This window comes from Homo sapiens, chromosome 16 (genome assembly GCF_000001405.40).
Source record: "Homo sapiens chromosome 16, GRCh38.p14 Primary Assembly".
NCBI classification, from domain to species: Eukaryota; Metazoa; Chordata; class Mammalia; order Primates; family Hominidae; genus Homo; species Homo sapiens.
The window spans coordinates 24,821,928-24,835,058 of record NC_000016.10 but is presented as its reverse complement, the minus strand read 5'-3'; the positions used below and the strand labels follow the sequence as shown (position 1 = coordinate 24,835,058).

The following is a 13,131-nucleotide window of genomic DNA, read 5'->3' as shown; positions in this document are numbered from 1 at the left end:
ATCTCTAACTCCTGGACTCAAGCAATCCTCCTGCCTTGACCTCCGAAAGTGCTGGAATTACAGGTGTGAGCCACTGTGCCCAACTTCAAGTACATTCCTATATTTAAATGCGTATGTATTTCTTCATGGAGCTAAATATCGGCACTCTGTTTCTGCTATTCAGTGTTAAAATGTCTGGAATGTACTCCTGGATTCAGCCATTCCGCAGATATTTCTTAAGTGCAAATGTGTGCCAGGCAGTGTTCTAAGCTCTGGGGGTTAAACAGAAAGTGTGGCAGGTCTATCCTCACTCTTGGGTCTTCATTCTCACTCTCTAGGGGCTTCTTCTCCCAGCCTAAGATCACACTGCAGTGTTTCTCAAACTATGAACTAGAGCTACACACAAAGGCTTTTCTGACCTCTGTCTCCCTCTAGCTGCTGCACTGGCTTCCCTTCTTTCCCTCCACTGATCAGTTCCTGACAGTTTACACTTGCCACTCCCTGTGGGGCGCACCCGACCTCCTTGCAGGGTGGAGGCATTCACTGCCTGACTGCTGGGAGAGTGTGGCAGCCAGCTCCCAGCTGAGTCTCCCCAAAAGGAATTGTCCTTAGCCAGAGGAAGGACAATTCCCCTAAATCCACAGCCTAAATCCAGTGCTTGGTCAGTGGGGTGGTCCCTGTCCTTCCTTGGGTGCAGAGCATATTTGAGGGACATCCCAGCTGCACAGCTCCCTGAGAGGTTGGCTGAGGCCTCTGTTGCGACCTCACTGCAGCTCAACTTCTCCCTCTGCCCTGTCCTGCCTCCCTTCCTCCCTTATCAATGTACTCTGAGGATATTTTCCAATAAGCCACCTCCACTCAGATCTGCACCTCAGAATGTGATTCTTGGGAAATCCAATCTACACCACCACCTTCATCTCCATTATCCATTAACCCCTCACCCCACTGGGACCTGGCGTCTGCCTCTACCCCAAAAATGATCTCCACTGTCACAGAACCATGCATGGCTTTCCCCATAGATTTCTTGACAGGCAGCATTTCAGACCATGGCTTTCTCCTTCCCTGAAATTTCCCCTCTCCCCAGATCTGAGACTCCACTCTCTCATGTTGTCCATGCCCAACCCTCACCTCATCAATGCCTCTTTGAATCTTTGACTCTTCCTGCTCAGATCTCTAGTCTCCTTTCTTCTTCTCAAATTATGATATTTCCTGAGCCCTCATTCTACATGCTTACCCATTTCCATGCCTCAGCCATCACCTGTGATTTACAAACCCCAAATTGATATCTCTATTATTGGTTTCTTCCTTAAACATGCATCTATCCATCCATTTATCCATCCATCCATTTATCCATCCATCCGTCAATCCATGCATCCATCCAACCATCCAGCCATCTATCCATTCATCCATCCATCCATCCATGCATCCGTCCATCCATGCATCCGTCCATCCATCCATCCATCCATCCATCCATGCATCCATCCATCCATCCATCCATCCATCCATCCATCCATCCCTGCATCTGTCCATCCATCCATCCGTCCATCCATCTGTCCAACCATCCATCCATCCATCCGTCCATCTGTCCATCCGTCTGTTCATCTGTCTGTCCATCCATCCATTCATCCATGCATCCAACAAATATTTTCAGTGCTCTGAGCTAGGTGCTAAGGATACAGTGGTGAAAAAATATAGTGTCCTCACCACTTAAAAGCAGCTGTCAACTGGACAGCTCCACTGGGCTGTTTCCCAGGCTCCTTGATACATCATATTGCACACCCACCTGCCACTCCCTGCACCAGGAAACCCACTCTTATCCTCCAGGGTCCTCTCCCTTAGCTAGTAGTGGTTCACCAAGTCAGAAACGTGAGATTGTCCTAGACTCCTCTCCTTCACTCTCCACAGACCCTAGCATCCATCTCATTGGCTCTTCATGCATTTAGCTCTTCCTCGCATCTCTATGCTACAGCCCTGATTCCGGCTTTTATAAATTCTTGTCTCAACTTCCAAATTAGTTTCCCAGCTAGCCTCAAGGCCCAGACCCTTCCAGTTCCTGCTCCACACCCTCCTAGAGGGGTTGGTTAATGTTCGCTCTTCAAGCACGTCACCCACCTTGGATCCCTTTTCTACCCCTCCTGACTGTGCTCGGTGCTCCATGAAGCTGATTGCTGTGGGTTTCAGGTGATATCACCCGGCTCTCCTTGCTTCCTGGCATCCAGTTAGGTTTGACCGTTCAAGCAGGCTGGGCGTGGTGGCTCACGCCTGTAATCCCAGCCCTTTGGGAGGCTGAGGTGGGAGGATCACTTGAGCCTGGGAGGTTGAGGCTGCAGTGAGCTGAGATTGCACCACTGCACTCCAGCTTAGGTGACAGAGTGAGACCCTGTTTCAAAAAAAAAAAAAGACACCTCTTGATAGCCGTTTATATAGATCTATCTCATTGTCTTAGTGGCTAAACATTCCGGCTTCCGGATGAAGTATAGTTTATTTAACTGTTCCCTTCTTAGAACCAGCACTACTAGTTGTTCCCCAATATCCAGTCTCTCCTTCTTCCCCAATAGCAGAAGTGTCACATCTAAGCTGGGGACAAGACATTCAGAATAAAGACTATGAGTTGCAGCCTTCCTGCTCATGTGATTTTCTTCTGCCCAATGGCATGTGAGCATAGCTGGGGGTCATGCCCTTAGTGGGGAGGAGCATGCTCTCCCCATCCCTCTCTTTCTCCACTGGCTGGGATGTGACTGTGGAAGTGAGATATCTGTGCCTCTGCAGATGAAGACAGTGTTGCAATGATGGAAGGCGTCTTGGGTCCTTAAGTAGAGCGAGGATACCAGCCCTGGACTCCTTACAGCCAGACATTCCATGACAACAGGTTGGTCTAACTCCAAAGACCACATTAACCAATAACCAGTAGCAACTTCCGAGGGCAAAGAAAAGCACGTGAAAAGATCTCGTCCTCTGTTATGCTCCCTGACCTCGGACACTCACAACTTTGCCGTTTCTGCACGTTGCCTCAACTGTTATTTACCTAACAGCTTCTTTCAATTTAGCCCTCTTCTAAAATACAACAGAAATGTATTTATTTAAAGGAAAACTAGCTGGGCACGATAGCTCATGTCTAATCCCAGCACTTTGGGAGGCCAAGGTGGAAGGATCGCTTGAGCCCAGGAGTTCGAGAGCAGCCTGGGAAACATAGTGAGATCTCATTTCTACAGGGAAAAAAAAAAATTAGCTGGGCATGGTGGTGTGTGCCTGTGGTCCCAGCTACTCAGGAGGCTGAGGTGACAGGACCTCTTGAGCCCAGGAGGCCGAAGCTACAGTGAGCCATGATCATGCCACTGCACTCCAGCCTGGGGGACAGAGTAAGACCCTGTCTCTAAACAAACAAACAAATAAAAGGAAAACTTGGCAGGACATGGTGGCTCATGACTGTAATCCCAACACTTTGGGAGGCCAAGGCAAGTGGATCACGAGGTCAGGAGTTCAAGACCAGCCTGGCCAAGATGGTGAAACCCTCTCTTTACTAAAAATACAAAAATTAGCTGGGCGCGGCAGCAGACACCCGTAATCCCAGCTACTCGGGAGGCTGAGACAGGAGAGTTGCTTGAACCCTGGGGGCGGAGGTTGCAGTGAGCCAAGATCACACCATTGCACTCCAGCCTTGGCAACAGAGAAGACTCCATCTCAAAAAAAAAAAAAAAAAAAGAAAAAAAAGAAACCTTAACAGACCATTGTTTGCCATATCCAACAGGGAGTGATGAAAAACCCAATAAAACCAAACAATGTTATTAAATCAAAAATTAAAAACAAAATGAAATACAGGTACCTAAAAAATAAGTTCCCAAAGAGAAGAATGGGCCTTTTGTTGCTTATGCAATAACGACCTGTAGTCATTGCTAGTACCCATAACCTTTAACTTTATGCCTGAAAAGTCCATTTTAATCACTTAAGATTTAATCACGTGATCTCATTTTCATCACAGTGACTCTAGAAGATGCAATGATGGCAAGGGGCTTGGGTTCTGGTGCCACAGCAGAACTGGGGCAAAACCCCCCGCAACCTGCACCTTGGGCCTCCCGGGATCAATGGCTAGGCCTCACCACAGCACAGGGTCCTAAAGGGTCTTGGGGTCACTTGCTGAGATGATTTTTTTTTTTAACTTTTTGTTGTCAACTTATTTACTTCTCTGCCAATATTCAAATAGGTAAGCATTCATAAAACAGCAAAAAAAAAAAAAAAAAAAAAAAAAAAAAATTCCTCTAGAACGGCCAAAGAATCTGTTCTACTTTACTTTTTAGAAACCTGGAAACCAGGAGCTCTGGCATTTGTGGAATAGCAGCATTGAAAATATCTACGATAGGCTGGGCTCAGTGGCTCATGCCTGTAATCCCAGCACTTTGGGAGACCGAGGTGGGCGGATCACCTGAGGTCAGGAGTTTGGGACCAGCCTGGCCAACATGGTGAAACCCCGTCTCTACTAAAAATACAAAAATTAGCTGGGTGTGGTGGCGCACACTTGTAATCCCGGCTACTCAGGAGGCTGAGGCAGGAGAATAGCTTGAACCGGGGAGGCGGAGGTTGCAGTGAGCCGAGATCAAGCCACTGTACTCCAGCCTGGGTGACAGAGTGAGACTCCGTCTCAAAAAAATAAAAAATAAAAAAAACCTCCTATATCAAAAATATCATTTGATGATCATTACTACATAAGAGCTTTGTTCACAGTGTTGGGATAATTGCAGATTCACATGTGGTTATAAGGAACAATACAGAGATGTCCTGTACTCTCAACCCAGTTCCCCTCAATAGTCACATCTTGAAAAACTATCATAGTACAATATCACAACCAGGAGACTGACAGTCATCTGGTTCACTGACTGCATTCAGATGTCCCGGGTTTTACTTGTATTCATTGTGTGTGTGTGCGCACACACACGTGTGCACGTGTGCATTTAGACATGAAGCAGGAAAACAAAGTGATAGCAAATTGTAACGTGCTATAAAAAAGTAAAGGTTTTAAAACATGCTGGGGCCCTATTAAATCAGACTGTCTGGGGTGGCGCCTGAGCTTTGGGGTATTTCCAAGTGGTTTTAATAGACAGCCAGGCCTGGGTAGCACGGCCTTAGCCTTGGAGCCCTGCCCTCATTCCTTCTCTGGGGGTCTCACTCTATTGCCCAGGCTGGTCTCTAACTCCTGGGCTCAAGCGATTCTCCTCTCAGCCTCCCAAAGTGCTGGATTACAGCCGACGGCCACCGCACCTGACCCAGTGGTCACCTTTCACTGTCCCCCTTGCCCACTCTGTCTCAGACACCCTGGGCTCCGGGCTGTTACCTGAATTGTCCTTTCCCCAAGCTGGGCTGTTGCTTCCCATCTTTCAGGTGTCTGCTTGGACGCCACCTCCTCAGAAAGGAGTATTTTACGCCAATGCTCAGGCCATCTTTGGTGGGTTCCGAGCAGGGGTGACCAGGGATTGCCAGTGTGCCACGGGGTCCCACTGCCCCCATTCATCTCCCAGCCTCTTGTCTTCACAGTAGTTCTCTGTAGATATGGGGGCAGTGGTTGAGGGGTGCTTTCCACAGAATATGGAGCCAAAGCCTTAAAGCAAGAGCCCCCCCAACCCCCAAACCTCCCAAGGCCCGGGCTCAGCACTCCTGGGGGAGGGAGGGGTCTGTCGGGTACAGGAGAGGATTGATTAGATAAGGCAGAATCGCAAATGCGTAGAGCTCTCCCTCTGCAGTGTCAGTGTCCCTGGAGCACATCTGACCCCATCAGGCAGGAAGTCTCCACATGGTGAGAGCACGACTTTAACCTCTCCTGAACCCTTTCTAACCTCTCTTCTCACCTTTGATAAGTATATCTACCCAGAATGGAATACATTTTGTTTTTATTTCTTGTATAGCTCTCTTTTATATATGGACACTGATTTTCTGTATAAGGTAATGATATCAACTTTCCTTTATAAAGAAATTGGAGGAGTTGATTAAACAATTTTTTTTAAAATTTATTTTTGATCTGAGTGTCTCAGGTTGAACATGTTGCCCAGGTTGGTGTCAGACACCTGGGCTCAAGCAATCCTGCTTCAGCCTCAGGGATTATAGGCTCGTGCCTCTACGCCCCGCAGAAGTTGATTTTATCACTATGAAATCGATAGAAACCCAGGCGGTTCAGGGATGCAGCAACATTGTAACAGTCTATGTACTGGATTCAGGTCTGCAGATTAGGTCCTGGCATCACTTGGTTGGAATTGCAGACTGCTGTCCTGCTCTCCCTGCAGGCTGGAGCGACCTGGAGTCAACTGTTAGCCAGGACAGGGGTCTCCGTGGGCTTCGACAGGGCCCTTGAATTCAAGGCTGGGTCAGCCGGTGGGAGTCATTCTCTTGCCCCTTTGCCGGGGCTCAGCCAATAGGACTCCCTGCCACCTGTCATCTGTCAGCACAGCTCTAAGGAACCTCTTCAGCCCTGCTTCTTAGAGTGGTACTGGGTCCTGACTGCACCCTGCTGTGGTGTGGTTCACCTTCTGGAAGCATCAGACTTTCTGAAGAAAAGCAATTTAAGTGGCTATTTGAAGCCGTATTTTTAGAGGAAAAGATGTGGAGCAGAATGCAACATTCACATTCAGCTTAACCTAAAATTCTTAAGCTTTAAACTCTGCCCCTGGATCCCAGGGGGGTCCGCATGCTGTGTCCTCTAGCTTTGGGGGTATGTTGGTGGACAACTTGAGACACTGTCCACCAGTGCAAATGGCACTGTGGTTTTCTGTTCCTAGGGCCAGGCTGGAAAGCTCTGAAAATAACACTGCACTTGGCAGGGCCAGGCACGGTGGCTCACACCTATAATCCCGACACTTCAGGAGGCCGAGGCAGGCGGATCACTTGAGCCCAGGAGTTCGAGACCAGCCTAGGCGACCTGGTGAAACCCCATCTCTACTAACAACAACAACAACTTAGCTGGGCGTGGTTGCTCATGCCTGTAATCCCAGCACGTTGGGAGGCTGAGGCGGGCGGATCACTTGAGTCCAGCAGTTCGAGACCAGCCTGGGCAACATGATGAAACCCCATTTCTAATAACAAAAAACAAAAACAACAACAGCAACAAAAACTTAGCTGGGCGTGGTGGCTCACGCCTGTAATCCCAGCACGTTGGGAGGCTGAGGCAGGCGGATCACTTGAGACCAGCCTGGGCAACATGGTGAAACCCTGTCTCTACAAAAAATAGCTGGGCGTGGTGGTGCACGCCTGTAGTTCCAGCTACTTGGGAGGCTGAGGTAGATCACTTGAGCCTGGGAGGTTGAGGCTGCAGTGAGCTGAGATTGAGCCACTGCACTCCAGCCTGGGCGACAGAGTGACACTGTCTTAAAACAGAATAAAACTTTTGAAAAAGCACCTGGCATGTAGAGAACCCTTAACACACCAATGCCGTTACCCTCCCTCCCGTTGGACCATGTAAATACCTATTCATGCAAAGTTCCGCCAGGGCTGAAGGCCTGGTCTCTGTCAAGGTCCATATGGGTTCCAGTTCTGGCTTTTGTTCCGAGACACCCCTCTGCACATTTGAAATCAAAGGGTCAGCAGGAAAAGATCTGAACTTTGGAGAAGAGGAAAAACCAATTAAGTCCCAATGCATGGAAACGATGCCTTAGCCAAACGTTAAGATGGTTTGCTCAGTGCAACCTCAATTTGTCATCCCCCCAACTTTTTGAGACTGGGTCTCACTATATTGCCCAGGCTGGCCTCGAACTCCTGAGCTCAAGTGATCCTCCTGCCTCGGCCTCCCAAAGTGCTAGGATGACAGGCATGAGGCCACCATGCTTGGCCATCCCTCAGTCTTGATGCAAATACTCCCCCTTCATCTCAGTCCCTACCTTCATGCCATTCAACCTGAATTTGATCCTCTGGGTCAAGGGCCCCAATTTGACCTTGTCGTCATTCCCCGGTTCATCCACCTGCACAAGCCAACAGTGTGGCACTACCACAGTCTCCTGTCCTCAGGTGTCAATAGGTGACAGCTCAGCTATTATTCCTTGCAATATTTATTCAGCCACTATCATCGATCTGAGAAGGTGGATTACAAAGACTAGAGAGAGCCTATTCAGCATGTGGTGGCCTAGCACAGTTCCTTGAAATGATGGAAGGAGCTAATTACTCTTGACTGGGGAAGGAAGTCCAGGGCAAGCTGCCCTCCAGTCTTTGAGGGTGGAAAGCATAGCACCGCAGAGAAGTTGAGGTTCATTAGAGCTGGGAACACACCCAGGGGAGCAGAGCAAGGAGGGATATTTGAAAATGTGTAAATGCCTGAGGCCAGGCGCAGTGGCTCATGCCTGTAATCCCAGCACTTTGGGAGGCTGAGATGGGCAGATCGCTTGAGCTTTGGAATTTGAGACCAGCCTGAGCAACACAGTGAAACCCCATTTCTATTAAAAATACAAAACTTAGCCGGATTCGGTGATAGGTGCCTGTAATCCCAGCTACTTGAGAGGCTGAGGGACGAGAACCGTTTGAGCCTGGGAGGCAGAGGTGACAGTGAACTGATATCCAGAGTGAAACCCTGTCGAAAGAAAAAAAAAAAAAGAAAGAAAAAGAAAGAAAAAAGAAAAAGGAAGAAAGTAGAAAGAGAAAAGGAAAAAAGAAAACAAAGAAAAAACGTGTTAAGTGCCTGTGTTAAAAAGTTTACCCTGACTCTTGGTGGCTCTGCGTGACTAGAAAGCCCCGAGCCATGGGCCCAGCATGGTCAGCTGCAGGTCTGTGCCAGACAAAGGGCAGCATCCAGGCACTGGCAGTCGGGATTAAGACCGAGAAGTAAGGGTGGCTTAGGGAATAGAGCTGTATTTATTTAAGGACTAGGCAAAGATCCAAACCACTTTAAAAAATTTTAAATCAAACACTTTATTTCCACATAACAAGCGCAAAAAACTCCCAAACACTTTAACAATACAATTAACGCAGTTATGAATTATATACTACTCAAAGCCCCAAGGTCAGAAGGTCAATCAGCTTAACGCTCCAAACATTTCCAGACATGGTTTTTCAAAGCTACCTTTGGTTTTTGGAAAAACCAGTATGGAAGTCAATATACATTGAACGCACTGAATAACATTTGCTTATAGTAAGGTGTCCGACAACATTAGCTCACACCTGGCAAGTTGGAGCATGATCTGAAGTCATACACTGAAATCCATACACAGGTTTCGCCCCCGAGCTCCTGCAGGGAGAAGCGAGGGCCGTGAAGGGGGAAGAAAAGGCCAGTCCGGGTGTGGCGTTTCTCGCTTTGTAACAGAGGTATGAGAGTTTAACACTAGTACACTGTCAAGTCATTAAGCTTCATGTTCCACATGGTTTCTTGCTGAGGCTTGAGATGGGCACAAATGGTGGGGAAGATGAAGTCACAGAAGAGTTTTGAGCAACAAGATCCCAAAGATGCTCAGAGAGGGTGGGAAGGAGCAAGCTACAGTTTCCCATTGTTCTCACATTATTTCAGGGTGAAATTGTGATGAGTTCAGATAAAATGTTCAAATATTTGCTTAGATTTTTAATCGGTTGCTCTATGAGAACCCTCATACATAGCAACTTTGAAACTTTCATTATAAAAAAGAGCCTACAAATAAATTCACAAAAAGGAGACAATTAATGTTGAGCAGCCAAAAAGTCATGGTTTATTATATCTGAAGAAATTTCATAATTCAAACACAACCAAACTGTACATTTTACAATCACATTCTATTTGTAAACAGTTAAAAGCCACTGACTTCTTTTGCATCTTAGGACACAAACAGTTAGAATCAAGGCAATGATATGATGGCAAATTCTGTACTGTTAAAATTTTTACCCTTGTTTAGTCTCTCTTCTTTGACTAAGCAAGCATTATAATACCATTTGTGGGCAAAAAAAGGGGGGAGGAAAGAAAGTTTAAAATGGTGTAACTCGTTAGTTTGCAACAACATTTAAAATTTTCTTTATACAACAAACAACTCTGTAAGCCCAATACCTTGGTTACAGTATGCATAGTTACTGATTTCGGCTTTAAGGTACAACAGTTAAACATTAACACAGTCACGAGAGAGCAGAAACATATGGAGCCACTTGATGGGATTACAAAAAATTATTACCTATTGATTATTAGCAAACCATCATCACTCACTAATAAAAAGACAGCATCTGAAAGCAGAATGTCAAACTCCAGCTTTAAGCGTTTTTTTGTTTTTTCTTTTTTTTTGGCAGAGAAAATTCTTTAACAGAGCAATATGTAGTATCAGTGCTAAAAGTTGGGGTTTTTCTTTTTTTCCTCTAAGAAACTACAAGGAATTTTTTTTTTTTTTTTTAAACTGGGGAACTGGTTTTCCTGAGAACCATGCTCTTTGATTTGGGACAGGAATAGAAAAACAAAAGAACATGGCCAAATGCTGCTCCTTTTTCCCAGAGATAGAAAGCATCTTTTAAATCATCCTCCATTTTTTTTTTGTCTTTTACATTTTTTTTAAATGATGGAAGAGTAAACATTTTTTTTTCTCAAAAAACAAACAAAAAAATCTGTAAACAAGAAGGTTCAAAGTGAGAACCTCCAAAACAAAATGGAAAGCCTATTCAAAGTGCAGGGCCCGTCCTGGGTGGCAGGTGGGCTGCAAGTCACAGCTGTGGCCACAGTTTTTCAAACTGCAGAGCGAAATTCTTTAGTTTTACAACATGAAAAAACTGGTGCAACACTTTCATTAATAATCCTAAGTCAGCATCCTAACTTGATCTTTTAAACTCCACGATACCACAATAAGGTAGGCAACATCAAGGCATAGTAGAGAGCGCACGCCTCCTAAGAACACCCTTGAGTAAACATTGACACTGGGACAGCTGCCCCCCATACTGCCGATGAGACGGAGAGAACATCATTCAGTGCAAAGGGAAAAGCTCATACGTTATCAGCCCAAAAAATGGTTTTGCAAGAGAGAAAAAAAGGGGCGGGGGGGGGGGTTGGGGAGGAATAGAAGGAAAAAAAAAAAAAGAATCCAAAGGCTAAACATGATGAATAGACACAAGCGAGCTCATTCTCTACGGTTTAGCATGTATGGCGCTATTTGGGAGTGTAAATAGAGTAGATACCTTTTCACATTATAATATTGGCCTGCATGATTCAAGTATTCAAACTGATATGTTTTGGGGAAAACAAAGTGGAAAATGTGCAGAGAATAGCTGTTCCCACAGGCGGCCCCTGGCTGCAGGCGGCGAGCCCCACTTAGTGCTCCTTTCCCTCGCGTCTGAGGTCCCGGTCGGTGAGTCTGCATCTACACTGTTACATGGACTCTCCACCCCCACCCAGGTGGTCAACAGAAAGAAAAGCGTTAATGGGAGATGGGCTGCTAATTCCTCGGGGGTCGCTGCTGCTTGGGGGACCCCACAGGCTTGTGGAATAATGCGGGGTCCCCCAGAGTGAAGTGCCGTGAAGGTCTCCACAGTTAGTTCCCGACAGCCCAGCACCATTCCAGTGATTGAGATCGGTCCGGCTGGAGAATGAGTGGGAACAGTCGAGGGAGCCCAGCCGGCTCTGGCTGGACCCGAGAGACTGCCAGCCGGGAGAAGGGGTCAGAGACTGGCTTTGTGCAAAGAAACGACTGATCTCCTCTTCACTGGCAAACTCAGCAAGAATAGTAGTGTTCCCCAGTACACACCTAGAGGAGAGAGGCACCGCGGACACGTGAGGACAGCACACCAGGAGGGCTTCATTCACTCACAAGTGAGGGTGCAACTTGTCTCTGCTAGAAAAGCCACAGAAGGCACAGAGGGAGAGACTACACCACATAACCTGCGTGCCCTCCCTTCACCCGAGTGTGCACCCACAGCTCTCCAGGGCCTGGTGCCTTGCCCAGAGCGAACTTCCTCTGTCTGCCATGGGCAACGTAAGGGACTTTCTAGGGCCATCTAGCCAGGTCTGATTCCCCGCTTAGGAATGCCGACCTTGGAATCAGGGCACTACTGCAGCCAGCAGGAGCCACCCACGCAGGACCCTGTGCACTGCCCCGGGTCAGGCTGTGCTCTCACACTCCTTCCCCTAGACTCTTCCAACTGGGAGCCCAACAGCCAACTTACATGTGCAGAGACTTTTGTGCCTTCACTACCTCTTCTTTTGAACTGTAGCGGACCAGAGCATTTCCGTGAGGGAGGTTCAGGTGGAATGTGATCAGCGGGCCGTGCTGCATGCACAGAGTGCGCAGAGTTGAGCCATCGATCTAGGAAACAGTGTGGAAACTGCCAGTGAGAGGCGTCACCGCGGGCCCTCCAGGAGGCTGTTTCAGGCTGCACTGCTGCCCCTCCTCTCTTTCCTGAGGCTCTGTGCTCCTGGCACCACTCTTCACTGACACTCTGACGTTGCTCTGACGGGGTGCAGAGCCATCTTCCCCACCTCCACTGCTCCCAGAGCCATACCGCTCTGGCCTCTAGACTCCTGGACACTCCCCAGATCCCCACTGTGGCTCCATGTCTTCTCTCTTCCCTGCCCTGAGGACAGCATCCATCAAGGTTCTGCTCCCTGAGGGAGGAGGGAGGTGGGAGCTCAACACCCAGCCTCCAGAGGAGGGCGCAGGCCAGGGGCTAAGAAAATGCTCTCACCTCAGGGGCAGACCAGGATTTCTCCATGTGCCAACAAGGACCACCTGTGTCAAATTCATCTGCAGGCCCTCATACAAATGCAGAGTCCCAGCCCCTAGCCCAGATCTACTGACTCAATCTCTGGGTGAGGCCTGGGAATCTGTATGCTTGGTTGGTTCCCAGGCACATTACAGCGTGAACCACCAGATTCGACCACAGCCTGCCTGAGGTCTACAGACCACTCCTCTGCTGTTTCCTCTGCTCGGCTTCACTACCACCTAGCAGCCCTTGTCTCACATACAGACCCGAACCTCTGTTCCCATGCTCCCTGGCGTAGCCACATAAACCAGCGTATCTGGTATCCTTACCTGAGGTGTAAGGTTTTTTAGAACAAGCCAATTTGTTATTCTCCCTGAGCTGCTCTCACCCCAGCTGGAACCTAAACAAGGAAAAAAAGGACAAGTCAGTTTTCCAGGACTGAAAGAGCCCAACTACAGTTACTTAGCAGATCACCTGGCCTCTTGACTTCCTTCACTTCCTTGCACTTCTACATGGGAGGCTTTCTCCCTAGGCCCAGAATTTCAGCTC

The 13,131-nt window shown here is 47.8% G+C and overlaps 1 protein-coding gene across 49 annotated transcripts in view, besides 2 other annotated features; it reads right to left on the bottom strand.

Annotated features, from left to right (window-relative positions):
• Positions 257–551: an enhancer, noted in NCBI's record as "tiled region #7462; HepG2 Activating DNase unmatched - State 12:CtcfO". NCBI's record gives its function as "activates a minimal TATA promoter and a strong SV40 promoter by Sharpr-MPRA in HepG2 cells {active_cell/tissue: HepG2}" and the evidence as "EXISTENCE:reporter gene assay evidence [ECO:0000049][PMID:27701403]".
• The window catches only part of TNRC6A (trinucleotide repeat containing adaptor 6A), a 216,014-nt gene continuing 211,723 nt past the window's right edge, over positions 8,841–13,131 (bottom strand). For all 49 annotated transcript variants that reach the window (XM_024450231.2, XM_017023145.3, NM_001351850.2 and 46 more), the window contains 3 exons: positions 12,912–12,982; positions 12,046–12,185; positions 8,841–11,627 (listed from right to left, as the gene is read on the bottom strand). In XM_024450231.2, coding sequence (XP_024305999.1) covers positions 11,252–11,627; positions 12,046–12,185; positions 12,912–12,982 — 587 coding nt within the window. In that variant the 3' untranslated portion in view covers positions 8,841–11,251. The remainder of the gene's footprint in view (positions 11,628–12,045; positions 12,186–12,911; positions 12,983–13,131) is intronic.
• Positions 11,747–12,247: an enhancer, noted in NCBI's record as "H3K4me1 hESC enhancer chr16:24834133-24834633 (GRCh37/hg19 assembly coordinates)". NCBI's record gives its function as "activates a minimal SCP1, AML or CMV promoter by ChIP-STARR-seq in primed H9 embryonic stem cells {active_cell/tissue: H9 hESC(primed)}" and the evidence as "EXISTENCE:reporter gene assay evidence [ECO:0000049][PMID:30033119]".